Source organism: Homo sapiens, chromosome 7 (assembly GCF_000001405.40).
Source record: "Homo sapiens chromosome 7, GRCh38.p14 Primary Assembly".
NCBI classification, from domain to species: Eukaryota; Metazoa; Chordata; class Mammalia; order Primates; family Hominidae; genus Homo; species Homo sapiens.
In genome coordinates this window covers 14,614,116-14,632,242 of record NC_000007.14, presented here as the reverse complement: position 1 = coordinate 14,632,242, position 18,127 = coordinate 14,614,116, and the positions used below count along the sequence as shown (strand labels likewise).

At 32.7% G+C, this 18,127-nt stretch overlaps 1 protein-coding gene across 26 annotated transcripts in view; it reads left to right on the top strand.

Annotated features, from left to right (window-relative positions):
- The window catches only part of DGKB (diacylglycerol kinase beta), an 829,810-nt gene that overhangs the window by 342,616 nt on the left and 469,067 nt on the right, over positions 1–18,127 (top strand). For 13 of the 26 annotated variants that reach the window (XR_001744571.2, NM_001350722.2, XM_011515154.3 and 10 more), the window contains 2 exons: positions 1,972–2,007; positions 10,749–10,865. Coding sequence is in view for 25 of the 26 variants with exons in the window: in NM_001350722.2 (NP_001337651.1) it covers positions 1,972–2,007; positions 10,749–10,865 (153 nt within the window). In the remaining variant the exon portion in view is untranslated. The remainder of the gene's footprint in view (positions 1–1,971; positions 2,008–10,748; positions 10,866–18,127) is intronic. The other 13 variants (NM_001350711.2, NM_001350707.2, NM_001350712.1 and 10 more) reach the window with 2 other exon arrangements.

The following is an 18,127-nucleotide window of genomic DNA, read 5'->3' as shown; positions in this document are numbered from 1 at the left end:
TATCAGTCATTATCTTGTCCATATTCAAATGTCTACAGTTATCCCCAAAATGCCTTCTGTTGCTTTTATTTATTTACTTTTTGGGCATGGTAAAAGTGAAAGTGGACCAGGATCTATCTGAAGCTCTTGAATTGCATTTGGTTGTTATTCTGAACCATTTAGACAGCCATAATCTTTTCACTTGGCTTTCCAGTGCCTGCTCTCTGCAAATGTATGCATGGTAAGCATACACTCTTCTAAGGTAAAAGGCATCTCTGACTCAGGCTCTGGAGGCTGATTGAAGTCTCTTATTTTGGTTGCTTGAGAGTCTCTGAGAGTTTCCTGGGTCCATGGCACAGAATGGGATAAGGATCCATAGGATTACATTCCTGACCTGAATTTGAAGAACAAACTTGTATATATTATGATAAAGATGGAAGGACTATATCCATGTCTTGCAATTTTATTCAGACCTTAAGCTTCAACCCGAAGCTAAGAAAGAATGATAATAAGGTTGGCAAATATCTTTGAACTGACCCAGAGAGAAACTAGCACAAATATTCGTTGTCCCTGGTGTTATGTAGACTGATTTGGACTCAGAAGTCAAGAATGTTACTGAAATCAGGAAGTTTTCAGTAAAGGCTCTACCAAACCTACTGTCAATTCATCTTCAAAACAACAATAATTACTTCCATTAGATTCTCCTGTGGAATGGATAGTTGGCCAGAGCTCATACTCTTCCACTTCGTGGCTTCTTTTGACTAGAAATCTGCAGCTACAGTACTTTCTACTTATATTATGGAAATATCTTCCAAATAGAGCTGTATTCCTGAACACCTTAATTTTCTGTGGGGCTGTGCTAGACCTCTTCTTCTCCTTCTGTGTCACTTTTGAGTGCACTGAATGCTTTTAGTCCATCTCTATTCTGCACAGCTGTGAGGGTGTCAGGTTTTACCTATCTCAGATTCAGCTATTTTTTTCTTTTTTTTTTTTTTTTTTTGGTTCTTGCTGCCTTTCTAAAGTTCTCCTGGGTAAGGGACTATAATAATATCTGGACTATCAGATTTTTCATACCCATCTTGGTGATCTAGCACTGCCCAGACCCTCCCTCAGATAGCTCGTATCTAGGGAGGAAAAGGGAATTCTGACTACCTCCTTCTTTTCAGGGACACAAATATCTAAGAACTGGCATCCCATCCAACTTTTCTTCTCCCGTTCCAGCATGGGGAAACTTTATCTAGTATTGTGTGTGTGATTTGTCAACTAATTATCCAAATTTGTATTTTATGTTCTCATTTCCATAGAATGCAGGCTTTTGGAATTCAGTGACCTTTTATCATTTCTTGTCAAAAAAAAAAAGGCTTTCCAATATGAACTACAAAGTGGGTAGTAGTGGTAGATAATGGAAAACACAGTTGTGAAGACTAATGTCAATGTATTTAACCCCATCTTAAAAAAATTACTCTCAAGTAAAATTCTTGCTACTTATTTAATTATAGTTTTTATTCTTTTACTGGTATTAATGGAATATGTTTTCTTATTTCCAGAGTATCACAAAACAAAATGAACATCATAAGCTATGTCTGTGTTCAAAAGACACAGTATTTTTAGGAAAGAATGAGAGTTGGACTTCAAAATGAAAATTGGGATGGGTAAAGGGGCAAATTAAAAAAACTTAGTGGAAATTATTTATTAAAGAGAATGGAACTTGGAGCTAAAGCTGACCAAAGATGTTGATCAGCATGCTTTGGGTAGATGAAGTTGTGTTTTGGATAAATAATTTCACAACCTAACCCACTCTGTGTTAGATAATTTCTTATTCAATGAAAAGATATTTAATTATTTAATTCAAGGAAGCAGTAAAATTATACCAAGGAAATGTATTTTTAATTTACTCATTTATTTCACAGGCATGTAATGATATGAGAAACTTCACTGATTTGTTTTGAGTTTGACTCTTTTTCAGCTTTCATATGAACTTCTCTTTTTCAGCAGACTCTGCCCACTTCAGGAGTTTCAGTTCCTGAGGTGCGTAAGCAAAAACAGGTTTTCACACTTAAAATTATAGGTCATTATACATCTTGTATTGCTGTAAAGAACATTTTGTGCTGGCTCAGTGACATTCGAATACCAGCATGTTATATTTTATTTTTTTCATATTCTGCTAATTGGAAGTGGTGGTTTTCATATTTTCAGTGATGGGATAGACTTGAAGAATTTTCCATCTATATTTGTGATAAGCATTAAGAAAACAAGAAGTTATGTGACCTAGACTTCACAGAGAAAAATAAAGGTTACTTTACAAAGAGTTTTTACTACATAGAAAAATAGTGCCACTCCCATTTTTTCACGTTAAAATGTAGATACATTGCTGGAAATCCAAAAGAATTTATTCTTTGAGCCATCAAAATATAAGTTTCAATGGCAGTATGTTGAGAGACTCTTGCTTACTTTGAAGTGCCCATCACTTTCAAATGAATGCAGCATTAATCACCTAGCCCATGCCATTGTATAGAGAAACATCAGAATAAAATATAGTCAGAATAAATGGCTTTTGTTTTGAAAACAAATGTAAGCATTGCCACAACATTATTTTCAGTAACATTTTTGCTTTACCTTTGCATTGATGATGCAAAGCCTCCACATTGTTCTGTGACAGTATCCAATTCAATTGTTATTATCTCTATAGGAAATGCCCAAATGGTATTGTTTCCCTAAAATTGTAATTAAAATCTGCTTATTTTAGAAAGTATTGCTTATATGAATGCTACATAAGATTATGAATTTATTTAGAGGATAACATGTTTGTAAAAAAGTGTCATAACTGCTCTTTTCTCCCCACCAAAAATGGCTTTTTAATCAGTGTAGACCTCTTCGTTAAATTAAAAAAAAAGTTCTCATTTTTAACCAGAGACATACTCAAAAATACTTGGACATACACTTAAATATAATGTTTCTAATCTAAGAAAATGTTAAACTGATTTTATATTCTTTAAGTGAGTTGGTGACATTATTATCACAATTATTATTATAAAATAGAGATGCTAAATTACACACTCAAGTGACAAAAGTATTAGGACAGTTTATTATTTCATTGGGTTATTTAAGTGTGAGAGAATTAATTTTGCATCCTCAGGTTCTTGAGTTTGTTTCTGCCCCGATTACCAGCCCAATCAAGCAAATATAGGCATTGCATTTGAGATCTAAACTTTTCTCTTTAGATCTGTTAATCTCCAAAGCATCCCCATGCATTCAGTTATATAATTTGTGTCATATAGATTGAGTAAATAGATCCAAATTTTTGTTTTTATATATTTTTTTAATTTTCAGGAAAAAAGTCTTTATTTTGATATGAAGTTTTTAAAAGTCTTCCTATAGTTATTTTTTTCTGGCACTATATATTGGTTTACATTAACTTAAACTTTCCAGTATCCCTCAAAGTCATTATATAAGATTTTTCAACTTTGTTGTTCCAAAAATTTCCTTAAGCCCATGCATGGATATATGCATGGCTGAGTGTGTGAATACACATATATACACACAGAAAGACAAGAAACCTTATGTTCTGCCATCAGGAACAGTTGCTCCTTGGTTAACGGAAAATGTGGTTAAAGTATATGTGGGAGAACATATAGAAAGATATATACATACATTAAATGTTTAACTTAAAATATGTACATTTATATTCATTGGCTATATTTTTGAAGATTAAGGGCTTTTCTATGAGGACAGATCTTCTAATTGGAAATGGTATCTTGCCTTTCTTGTATATATCACAATCTTATCACTTATAATAGTTTCAATTCTTTTAAAGTATAGCAAAAACTCAAGAACATCTGTGAAGAAATCTGAGTGTAAAAATACTATTTTTATTATTAATACCCAAAGCTTGCACAGTTGTTCTCTCTAAACTTAACTTGACCACTCCTCATACACACCACACACACACACACACATAACTTGTGTTATTTTGTCTTTCTAAAGCTTGCAGGTTATTTTTTATAAAGATGACTCTTTCATTTTGTATTCAAAATTCAATGATTTGAGTAATAATTAAATTACACAGTTACAATTACAAGGTAAGTTTTACTTAGAACTGGCATAAACAGATTGAGGGCTAATAAGTCACTGTGTTGAGCATTTAGCTTAGGTGGTAGAAAGAGACAATGAGTGTGAGCATAAGAGAGCTGCCTCCTGGTACTTACTTTCAGTTTACTGTGGATGACAGTCAGTATGGTTTACAAAGGGATTGGAGAAAGAGGAATGTTGAGGTTGGTTACAAAGTCTGGTTTTTTTTGTTGTTTTTTTTTTTTGTTTTTTTGAGACAAGGTCTCACTCTGTCTCCCAGGCTGGAGTACAGTGGCATGATCTCGGCTCACTGCAGCCTCTGCCTCACGGGTTCAAGCGATTCTCCTGCTTCAGCCGCCAAAGTAGCTGGGATCATAGGCGCACGTGACCACGCCCGGCTAATTTTTTGTATTTTTAGTAGAGATGAGGTTTCACCATGTTGGCCAGGCTGGTCTCGAACTCCTGACCTCGTGATCTGCCCTCCTCAGCCTCCCAAAGTGCTGAGATTACAGGTGTGAGCCACCGCGCCTAGCCCAAAGTCTTCTTTTGTATATAAAGTATACACATACATATATGTGTATGTATACTACACACACACACACACACACAGACACAGACATACACACATTATTTTATAATGGTGCTGCCATGTACTAGCACATAGCCAAAATTGAATTATTTTGGCATAGACCCTCTTATTCCTAAATTTCATTCCCTCCAATAAGAATTTCCTTAACAGAAATCTTGTAAGTGGTTTATACCCAGGATAAAATCATCCTAGGAGAAAATATGAACTTCATGTGTAATGTGTGAAAACCGGGACTTATGGATCAAGTCACCAAGTGTACCTTCAAGTGTAGGAAGTGACTAACACCCCCAGGTACTTTAAGACCAGTTGTCATTTTGTCTGTTTTGTTGTCCCCCGTCTCCCAAAAAGACACCACCCAAATCACCACAGCAATTATTCTCAGCTATGGTGACTTAGTGGGCAAATAAAGTACAGGATGTTAAATAAATCATACTTCTTACAACACTTACCTTTTACTGCTATGACCAAGCAGTATACCTGTGATTAACTTAATAATAAAATAAATAAAATTTTTTATCTATACTTTAAAATCATTGCCATTTACTGAGTGCCTGTTTTATGTCAGTACTTTTGTCTAAATTTTCTTACTTTTTTCTAACATAAGCTTTCCAATTTATAGTTAAAATAAGTGGTAACATAGCAATGGTAAATAACTTGCCCAAGCTTACACAGAAATAAAAGACAAAGCTGCAATTTGGCTTCTAAACTCATACTTTTGCCTTTACAAAAAGTTGTTTTTGCCTTTTTTAAAAGTACTTACTTAACTAAGTTTAAAAGAAATAAAAATCTTTAGACCTTATATCGTTTATTATATTTATCTTTAAAACTTTATAATTAAAAACAATCAAAACTGTTTTTTCTAGTCAGCAAATAGTTTTGCTGCAATTTCCAAAGATTACTAATAGATTTAGAGCCTTCATCATTTTTGAAATGAATTTGTTTCCTTCAACCATTAAAATGTTCAAATCCCACGTTCAGTCCATATTGATTAAAGGTGCAGCTTTGCAGTTTGTTAGTAAGTTGGTGTCTCAGACCGAACCTTCGTAAGCCCTGCTGAATGTGGTAACATTTCTGCATCAGAGAGATCTTAACTGCTGTGAATCTATATGATACCTTGGGTTAAAAACTCTAGGGTTTCTGGAAAATTCATGTGGCCTAGCTCCAGTGGCAGAAAGGACTAAATCTCCATTCAGGCAAGTTGTGCAGTAGTAGCAGGGAAAGTAAGTTCTACGATACAAGTGATGGATGCTGTTGGCAGGAAAGCACTCGCCTTTGTAGCTTTGTACCAGTGGAGGTGCTTTGCTGCTGCCAGTTTCTCATGCTGAGATTGGACAAAAAGAAGAAAACCCTGTTCTTGAGGTAATCATCACTTGCTGCTTGCAGTTTGCCAGCGATCGATAACAGCAGGCTTAAGTATTGTGGTAAACAACCCTTTTGTGAAAGCAGTTTTCACCAGTGTACAAATACTCTACCTCTGAGAATCAGCATGATGTAGACAAAGATTTTTTTTTTAGAGCACATATTTAAAGTGAGGTCTTTTTATTTTATTCATTTCACCTTTCTATTTTCTGTGAATGGTCTTTTTGGCTTTTCTTCTCTGTTTATGATGATGATTATTCTTTTGGAATTCTAATACAATATATTCCCCAGTTAAGATCTGTTGTGCTACTTGTGGAGTCTACGGATCACAAAACACTGAATTCTATATTTAAAATGTCTACATAGCAAACACAAATGGTTGATATTTGAAAATGCTCAAATATCAATAACTGTATTTTATATTTTGTAGTTATATGTTCTATTTTCTTTCATGACTTTTTTTTAGTTAGAGTAGCTCTTTTCAGTGTTTGAATAATTTCTATTGATTAAAGCAACAATTTTCCAACTCTTTGTATATCTAGGATGATTTATCTGGCAGAAGGAAATTTGCCTTAATTACAACAATGTAATTTATTTTGTGGTTTAGAGCCCCAAAACTTAAAGAAAGAAACTGAAGGTTAAATGGCAAACTTTGTCCCCTATTATCAGAGAGCAATTTTATCCTGAATGATTGTGCAACCTAAGATTGGTGAGCTCTTTCTGAAACTTTCAATAACTTCAACATTGGTAATTAACTCTCATAAATATCATAATAGAGGTCTGCCAGTCAGGGTCAATTTACCTTCCCAAAAAAGCTAGTGAAACCTGGTGGACAGGAAATTTTTTGAGGATACAGTTGCCTCCCCCTTCCTGTCCCTCATATAAAAAGGAGAGACAATTTTCTCAATGGAAATAGAAGAAAAATTAAATAGTGATGAGGCTCTCCTGTTTTTAAGATTTTAGACTGGATTAATTGCACAAATTCCACACATTTGCATTTTTCCCCAAAGAAATCACTTGGTTTTCTTGATGCGTGTGTCTGTGTGTTTGTGTTTAAATGAATGCTTACCATTTTAGTATTAGATACTATAATAAAATACACAGACAGATGGATACACTGAGGATTTAAAAATTAACTTGTTATATACCTCTTTCTCATAATTCTGGATTTCATAAATGAAATCTCATAAGTTGAAAACTCAACTTAGGGTTTTAAAATTTGTTTTTATTTATATATTTATTTATTTATTGAGACAGAGTCTCACTCTGTCTCTCAGGATGGAGTTCAGTGGTACAATCTTGGCTCACTGCAACCTCCATCCCCAGACTCCAGTGATCCTCCCACTTCAGCTTCCAGAGTAACTGGGACCACAGGTGTCCACCACCATGCCCGACTATATTTTTGCGTTTTTAGTAGCGACAGGGGCTCACCATGTTGCCCAAGCTGGTCTTGAACTCCTGGGCTCCAGCGATCTGCCTGCTTCAGCCTCCCAAAATGCTGGGATTACAGGTGTGAGCCACCACATGCAGCCTGTTTGTATTATTTCTGATTGTTTACACTAAAGCAATTGTTTAGTCTCCTGCCCAACTTACTTAGGGGGGTGACTACTTGGAGGGACATGATGCCATTTAATCAACTGCTATCTCTGCCATTTGGAGGTTCTTAGAACACAAGAACTTCCCTAGCTATACGTGTGGCCAAAAGTAAAGTCATATTAATAGATGGTTTCATAGCTCTTTAAAAACATATACTTGCATGTCTTAAATTTCCATTAAAACATAAATATATAATCTGGTGCAAATTCCCAGTTCCATTGTAACTAATCAAATTGAATTTTATTTAATTCTTCAAGTGTAAGCATTTTATAAATTGAATGCCAAACAACAATTGTTGGATAATTAGGAAGAATAACTGTATTAAGGTATATCTTTCACATTGCAGATTTTTACAAAATATTGATGCCATGTTTTATATATATGCATGCAAGAATGCTGGAGTAAATTATTTCCACACTCACCAACAGCATTAAGTTTTTGAACAGCTAACACAAGCTATGCATTTTCAAATATAAGCGTTGAACTTTTAAATTTTAAATATGTTCCTGACGTAACCACTGAATGTTTTTTCATACACACACACATTTGGAAATATAAAAACAATGTTGATGAGTACCCAAAAAGGCAACCACAACTATTTTACATCATTCATAGTAACTGTTATATTGAATACATACTTTAATGTAGTGACAATATTACAGACTATACATTTTATATTAAACCTTACACAACTCTGAGAAATAGGTATCACTATCTCCATTTTGCCAAAGCATAAACCCTCTAGGTTACATAATACTTAGGTAGTAGAGATGAGATTCAACTCAGGCATTCTGATTCGAGACCTCATCTAATAATTCACTCCTATATACATTATGCCATTTAACTATCTATGAATAAAATTATAATTTGCAAACTTAAAAAGAAGGAACTTTCTTTTAAAAATCAATATTTTTGCCAGAAATTATGCTTATATGAAAGCACATCACTTTCCAAACGACTTGAATTTCAGGAATCCTATTATGGCATCCATTTTCAGCCACACACAAAATATATTCAGTGTTTTTGCACCATGGAATTGCAAGGTAAATGGACTATATTGATTAGCATTATTTTAGTCAGAGACGATTTCTGATCCATCTAGCCCTAATATATTTAAAAACAGCTTTACTTTCAAAGCTATTTAAAAATGTCTTTCTAGGAATAAATTCAATGCTTGATAGCAGAGAAGGGTGATTATACTTAATAAATGTATTGTACTTGGGCAATGATCACTCTAAATACCCTTTACATGTAAAACATTTCTCAGTTACCCCATACATTTGCACAAATAAAATCCGATCTTTCTAAATTATAGAAATTGAAATGGTACTCTAACAAGCAAATATAGGAACTAGGAAATATATATAGCTGAGTAAGTGATAGGAAATGTGTGGCACTAAAGCACTTAAGCACCCATGGCATGCATTGCCAATCAATTAGGACAATTTTTCACATCAAGCCTAAAATCCCTAAGAATCCTTCTCAACAGTTGCTTCAAGAACTTAGAAAACTTTTCAAAAAAGTTTTCATTTATTTCTTGATTTATCCTGACTTTTGTTAGTCACTGATTTAGGATCTGATATAGACCAGTGACACAAAGAAAGTTCTTTTGCTTATGGAACTTTGATTAAGATGAAAGAATGCAGACAATTAAACAAATCAGATAAATAATACTTTAGGTTGTAATAATTGATGTTTTAAAAGGAGGCTCAAGGGACTAGAGAAACTTCTCTGACATTTGACCACATCCTGAAGTCAGGACCAAGGCCCACAAATGTGCAGTGGCAAGTTTTCCAGCAGACTGCAGAATGATTGCAAGAGCTCTGAATTTAAAGCATGATTGTTATGATCAAGGAACAATGAGGAAGCCAGTGCAGCTGGAGTAGGGTAAAAAAAAGGGATGAGTTTGGCTTTTGTGTAGAGAACTGAGTGTAGGGAGACAAAAATGGAAGTAGAATGATTCATTAGGTGATAGTTACAATAATCCAAGCACAAAAAGATAATGGATGTTTAAGCCATGTAATGAGGCAGGTGGTGAGTTGTCATCCAGTTTGAGATTTATTTTCTAGGGACAGAGTAGGCAGGAAATTTTAAAACTAATCTTGGACATTTTACAATGTTGTGCTTTAGGCCTTCATGTGGACATACAGAAACAGCATCTGCATGTGGAAATTAAGGCTCAGGTAGAAATCAGAACAAGAATTATACATTTAGAAATCTTCATAAAAATGAAATTGAAAGTTGTGGGAATGAATGAAGTTACCTAGGGAGTGAGGGTAGATAGAGATGATGAGAGGTCCAAGGAAGAGGCTGAGTCTTACAGGTGGCAAAGCTGGAGAAGCAATGGGCAAAAGAGACTATGAGGGCGAAGTTGTGAAGGAAGAAGAGAGCTCAGAGAAAGAAGTGTCCTGGAAGCCACGTGAGGCAAGTTTTCAAAGAGTAAGAAGAGATCAATTCTGTCAGATGCTGCTGAAAGATTTGAGAAGATGAAGACTGATCATTAGATGTGAAACTGAGACGGTCATTGGTGATTTTAGTAAAAGATAGTTTGGTGGAGTAATGGTGATACAAGTTGATTGGGTTGTGTTAAGAGAGAGTGAAAAGAGAGGAAATAGAAACAGGGAGCAGGCAACTCCTAAAAGAAATTTTTTTACTATGAGGAACAAAGTAATTAGCTGGGATGGAATGTCAGTTTTAAGATATATGCTATTTTTGATATAAATAGTAGCTTAAAAGTCCATCATGCAATTAAAAATAATTTTCAATATTGCATGTATTTATAAGCTTTTCTTAGTACTCAATACCACATTCTTTAAATTATAATCCTGTACCCTTTATCTGTATCATTACATATGAAAATAATCAACTTCAGTAATCGTTAGTAACTTTTGATAAAGAGTCATAATTGGGCACATAGGGATAATACAATTTGGTATTCTTTCTCATTATTTCTTTAAATGGTGGTTCGATCATGAAGCTATCATATATATTGAGCCAGTTGAAAACAACAGCTTTCATATTATTCACTAGGAACTTCAAATTAGAAAGTTGAGCCTGTGTTTGTAACCATGAAACTCTTCTATTAGTAAAAACAACTTAACATTTTATTATGTTATTTTCCTAATTTTTATTTTTATCAAAATTTTCTTTTTTACAGGAAAGACAATCAACAGTGAAAAAGGAAAAGAGTGGTTCCCAGCAGCCAAACAAAGTGATTGACAAGAATAAAATGCAAAGAGCCAACTCTGTTACTGTAGATGGACAAGGCCTGCAGGTATGATTTTTTAAATCAAAATTTTAGTAGGTTTCATATTTGATACTTCTAGGCTCTAAAGGGGCATATGTTCAGCTATCAACACATTTGTTTAATCTGCATATTAGCTTAGTAGACTCTTTCAGAAAGATCTTTATTAATTTATCAAGATGTCAGTCTTACGGTTGATTGACAGAGTAACATTCTGGTTAAATTAATCATTTATGATTTTATCTCCATTTAAACTCAAATTGGCAAGAGATCTTTTGAAAGATTTGAAAATTATTGCTAAATATACACACTTATTAAATACATATGTGTTATTTATTTACAGGTATACTTTATATCTCTCTATATATTTATATTTAGTATGGGTATGATATGAAGAGTCACTCTGATAGCAAAAAAGACTTTAGGAAAGAAGAAAATGAACTCTGAATGCATTTTTTTCTAAATAAATATTTTTAATAATAAAGAATGTATTGTAATATATTTCTAGCTTTCAAATTTTTAAGTCAAAATTTTAAGTCAAAATTTAAACCTCAAATATATATCTAGGTTAAATAAACACAGGTAGTCATTTTTTAATACTATTATATAAAAACGTGTAAGTTATCTTTACCGCCTGTGGCATCAAGAATAGCATTTTAAGACATTGTATGGGGTGAATGTATAACATTTACTTACCTCTATTTTTTACCTGTGTTTCTTACTTCAACAGAAAAATGGTCAATAACGTTGGCTTAATTTATGAAATTGTGGATTTAAGTATGTTTTTCTACTTATGTTTTTGTGTTCCAACTGCCTATACTTCAAGTTTCACATTCTCTGGGAATATTTACCAACAATTTAACATACAAACAGTATGTCACACACTTGCATTCATTATATTTGATTTTCTATCATCTTTTTTTATTTCTTATTTTATTTCTGATACTATAGATTATGTCTTTTGTATTTTTTCAATATGAGAGCACAGTTCAGGGCACAGAGAAGATGCCTAAATGCTTGCTTCTTTATCATCTTGAATGTCATTAAAATTTAATAATAATTTATTAAATATTGATAACTAAGTTACTGTTTGTTTTTTATCTAAAAATCCATTGTGAATAGAAAATTTTTCATAAATTATTAAACTCAAATATAAAAGGAGGGAATTCTGAATAATAAAATTATTATATATTAGAGAACAGAAAATTTAATTTTAAAAAAGTAAATCAAGATGTACATTTTGGAACTCATATCCATATGTTTAGAAATTTCATAGGAGCTGTCAAATATAAAATCTATCCACAATTTTATTAGCAAAAAAATTAATTAAATTATCCTATAAAATTTTTATTGAAAAAAATCAACATTTTAATTCAATACGTGGATGCCTAATATTGATAAGTTTAAATCTTCAGCTACTCTGGGTTCCTGGAATGAAATTAATGAAAGGGAAGCCTAATTCTGAAATCTAATTGTATTTCACATGACTAGGCACATACTTCTCATCACAGATGGGAAGCATATATCATTTGTTAAATAGGATAGCTTAAGCATTATGATGGTATTTTATACATATTAGCTTGTTTAATTCTCTCAATAAACATATGAGATCAATACCATTATTATCATCATTTTCAAAATCATGTTGATGTTCAGAAGTGAGATAACTTCCCCAAGGGCACAGTCAGTGGTAAAACCAAGGTTTGAATGAAGACCATCTGACTAGAGTTTATGTGTTTCACTCCCAAGACACCCTGTCTCTTTGCTTAAAATTTTTTAACATGTATGTAACTGCTAAACTTCTGAACATCTTGTTCTTCTGTGTGCTTTTATATTGCTGCAGGCTTTGAGATACAATTTATGTATGCAACAGAATTTTAACTCCTCTAATCTCAGTTTTCCAAGATTTTCATAATCATACCTCAATTTGCCCGGACATCAAAACCAAAATTAAATAGTACATGCAGTGTTTTAAAGGTTTTAAACCTACATAGTAATATGTTTGATTTTATTTTCTATTTTAAAATAATCTGAAATATTCGACCTTATTACAGCTAAATTAGTCACATTAAAAATCTTAGATGATTAACATTCTTTGTGGAAGTGTTTCATCTCTCTAACCAGATAATAACTTTTTATAACTTTCTTTGACATATAAAAGTGTCAGCTAAAATTGTGAGTGGGACAAGTATAGAAATCAGCCCTAAAAAAACACCAGTTAAAAAAATACCATATGTGTAGTAATAATTTTTTGAATTAAAAAAAGTTGGTATATAATCATGTGCAAAAGCCTGTTGTACCTCAGCAGAAAGGACCAAAATAGAATACACATATATAGCCACATAGTTTTGGAGAAAAAAAATAAAAGAATAAAGTTCTGGATAGCTATTATATGCAAAATGAAAAAATAGTAATTTTGTGTTGTATTTATCAATTTTAAAATACCAAAATGTTTGTTTATTATCAAGAAAGGTAAAAAGATCTACCATAAAGTTAATTTTTTCCATGAGCTTTAAAAAGTATGTATCATTAAAAAGCATTGAGTTGCAGCCCAGTTTGCATATAACTTCAGTGACAGAAGAGATCTACACTGCTTAAAGAAGACTATTAATCATAGTTAAGCACATTCATCTTATTTCTTTCCAGCTAACCAGCATAATGATCAGGATTATTATTTCTAATTAGAGGAAGTAATAGATCATGTATAACCTTAGGATGAGTCTCATTAATTAACCCAAGTCCTAGGGGACTTCAAATAGAGGTGGTTAGGCACTCTGTCTTTGTCATCGCTCACACCATAGGTTTACACTTAATACATATGATCAAATGTAATTGAAACTGCGACTTCTTACCATGCAAGAGATATAAAATTACAGATGGCTCTCCCACATGTGAAGAAATAAGGAGAAAAACAGAACAATTGTTTTAAACTGTGTTTATGTTGAAGTTACCTTGTTCCTAAATATTCTTTGAGAAACATTTCCAAATAAAAGGGTCATTTAAGAAGTAACGAATCTAGTTTGTAACACTTTTAGCACGAGAAAGAAAGGGGGACCTTTATGATTAAATATCTAAAACTGAACCAGTGTCTTTCCTCACAAAACTGCCTCTTTATTTTATCTTCCTTATTTGTAATATCTTATTCTTGTAATCACCAAGACTGTAAACCATGCACCCATGCACTAAATGTAAGTGTATAGTATATATGTATATTAAATTAATTATCTCTATATAATCAATTCACTTTCTTTGATGTATGTGTGTGTACGTGTGTGTGTGTGTGTGTGTATGTCCTTTGCTCATTTTAGAATTCTTAACCCTGTTGACTGTTTCATACTTAGCACTTCATTGACATTCTAACTCTCAATGTAAACCCAGAATTGTTACTCTATAGTTTTGAGCATTATAGCAACCTTTAAACTGAGTATCTCCATATACATAAAATGGTAGATAATAAATGATGTAAAAATAGAGCTGAGTAAGATAAGAAAGATCAGGGCTAAGAGTCAGAATTGTCTATAATTTTAAGAACAATGGCTAGTTTAGGCCCCATTAATAAAGTGATATTTGGGTAAAGACTTAAAAGAGATGAAGCAGTTGGTCATTTGGATATATGGGGAATGGACAACCCTAAGGTAAGTATATGCCTAGGGTCAGTAAGAACTGTAGTTGGAGTAGGGTGGGCAAGATGGAAAGTGGTAGCAAGTAATTCAGAGAAGTAACAGGGGCTAGAATTTTTAAAGGCTTGAAGGCTTCAATAAAGACTGACTTTTGATCTGAGTGTGATGAGAAGATATTGGTGGGAAAGATAAGCAGAGGAGTGACATGATTGAATGGTATTTTAAAAGGCTTACTCTTATAAAGATTAGATTGTTGGGGAGCCAAGAGTCCAGTAGATTACTGTTGAAGTTATTCAGGGGTTATAAGACGTAGGCTTGTTAGGATGGAGCAGTGGAAGTAGAGAGATGTGATGGGATTCTACATATATTTTGAGGAATGAGCAAAAGATATGCTGATGAATTGACTACAGGGTTTATGAGAAAAGTGAGGAATCAGGAACTTCTCCAAGATATTAATAGTTTGGACCATGCAACTGAAATGATGAAATTGCCATTGACTGAGATAGGGGAGCATCTGTATGAATGTTTAGAGGGAAATTTCTGCTGCTGTTAGATATCCAAATAAAAATATCAAGTAGGTAGACCAATATGTGAACCTAGAAATTAGAAGAAAAGGCAGACATGAATTTGGGAGTGAAAGGCATTGATGGCAGCCATCAGATAAGATGAGATCATTAAAGGACAGAGTGTGTATATAGAGAGAAGTGATTGAACTGGGATCCAAAACCAGTCTAACTCTAAAATCATGCTCTTTAAATGTACTGTTTTTAACTGCCCCTTTATGTGATTAAGTAAGATTTTACATGATGAATTCTATTCAGTATGGTGGAGAATCCAGTGTGAACAGTCTCCTGGAATACCCTGCACATCAAATTTATAACCATTCTTCAAGATTTCAACTACCACAGATGCTATAAAATCTTTCCTAGACACTTTCTCTCTTCATCAGTATTTTTGTGTGTGTGAAACCGTATTACTGTATCTCAAGTATTGTTTAACTGTTTTGAAAAGACACAGGGCTCTGTAGAGAGAGCCTCAAGCACAATGGAAGAGTCATGGGAGATTGAGAGCAGGTTGAGGGTTCTTTCATCCTTTAAACAAATCAACTAGGAAGTCATCTGTTCTATATGCTGTTCTACTTCAGATGATCTCAAATGCTGTATAAATATATGTACTTCAAAGAATGAATAGTTTTCAGCTGACAGAATTTTTGACATAGTTGTGTTTTTATCTTTCACCTCCTACTCCACCAAAATCTATAACAAAAAGGACACAATATTTTAGGATTGCAGCAAATGTATTTTCAGAATAATTGAATTTTACATATTATTTCACAATTGTTTTGTGAAAGTAAAAATTCTAAATTCATAGACAGATTGGATACAATCCAAAAGAGAATTAGTAAGCTTGAATATAACGTTGGTACCTAACTACATTGGTACCTCATATCCCATTTAGGTTTCATCAGTTGTCCCAATAATAGTTTTTTTCCACAAAACTAGTCCAAAATCATATTAGTTTTCTGTTATTGATGGTTGTATTGTGTGTATATATATATATGTATATATGTATATTATATATATGTATATATATGTATATACGAGAGAATGTTTTTATATGTAGGAAATACTAATGTAAATGGGAGTGGTAGTGATGGAGTAGAATTTTGGCAACTTACTCTCAAGTGGTTGAGGGAAAAAGTTAATTGAGAGTCATTGCAACTTTTCTGTAAATTTGAGAGTTTTTCAAAAAAATAAAAATATTACTGTAAAATTTAAAAAATATTAATGTAAGATATTTCCATAAAACTTTATTCACCAAAATCAGATATACTGAGTTTCAGAAACTAAGAAAACTATTTATATTCATTTTGTCAGTAGACATGTTTTGCATTGCAATACAATGCAAAGATAGTTCTTATTTGATGGACCTCTCTGAAAACCAGAATCTGGAATCAAACAGATCAAATTAACTAATTGAAAGACTACATGTGATAATATCCACAATTTTACTTATCTCATACTTTATATGTTAGGACTGTCTGAAAATGAACTCATACTCAATAATGAGAGAAGTATTATGTAAAATAATGGTTGCTAATTGATTGATATTATTCCTGTATATCCATATTGGATATTCAACTTTTGCCACTTGTGGAATATCATCATTGCTCTAAATTCTTTAAATTCTCTGATTTTTCTAATACATTTAATCTGTTTCTCCATTTAACTACCCCTAAAAATTACATCAAGATTTTGTATTTTATTTTGAAATTCCTTACAGACTATAATCTATTCCAGTGGGATATTTATTTGTTCATAACAGTATATAACTTAAAATACAATTTTAATTCCCCTTTACTTGACAATTTATAGTGATGTCTATAAATATTCTCACAATTAAATATCTCTGAGAGACATTTCAAAACATAGTTTGAAAATAATTCCATATATTGGACTCAGCATGAATTTTTGTATAATCTCATATAGTTATAAAATGAATGTTGACTTTAGGGAGAAAAGGAAAACTCATCCTAATGAGTATTTGGGTTCAGAGTTAATACTTTGCTCATGCTTAAAAATCTGTTTACTTTGAGATTCCCATTTCTACTTAAAAACCAGTAGAAACAGTTCAAATTGACTAAAAAGTCAACTAAAATCTACATCTATTTATTATTGCTATTTGCTTATGAAAACGTTAGGAGTTTCAATTTGTAATAGGATGAGAAATAAAGAAAATCGAACACAGGTTTTTAGATATAGTTGTTTGTTTGATTTTAGTTTTTAATGGGAGGAAGGGGTACCCATTGCAATCCGCAGCCACCATGGCTTAAAGATAATAGACACTTTATGTACATTAATTGATTGCACACATTTGGTTCAGGGGAGACCTGGGAAGTTAGTGCATAAGTTTTTCCTGCTCATCCTTCTCCCAGCTGAATTGGAGACAAATTAGGAAGAAAGAAACTTTGTCCTCTTTGCAATGGAAAGTAAAATAGAAACAGACACAGTAAATTATAATGAGAGCTAGTTGGATATGAATAGAAAAATTACGAGTATCTCAGTCAATCTTCCCACTTCGGTAATGTGGAGATTTTAACATTTCCCCATTGCCTATTCTCATTAGAAAAATGCCATTTTACTAAAGAAGTGGAGGAAAATATGTTAGTAGAATATTTTAACTTATATTGTTAAACAGGAAGGAAGGGCATGATATGGTAAAATGAGTGTTTTTAATTGTCTCATTAAACATTTAAGACTACTTTCTAGGGGAGAAATAACACTGCAGTAAAGATAATTTGAATGTACTTTCAAAAAAGCAGATTGATCCAAAACTGTTCAACTTAGTATTTAGAGGACACAATTAGCTGAATACTTTTGTTATTAAATTTTTTTCATCAAACTGTATTTAGATGGGAGTTACATAGGGTTACATTGAATAGGAATACTTTTATTTTAAAAAGTCTGTTATTTAACATTGGAATCAGGTAAGAGACAACACTTGTCCTTTCCCACACTACGTAAAACAACTCTACCCACAAAAATACGTGCTATCACCTTACCTGCTTTATTTCCCATCGTGGCATGTTTCATTGCTAAATATGTATTTGTTTATTGTATATTTCTCCACTATAATATAAGCTCCATTAGGACAGAAACTTTGTCTTTCTTG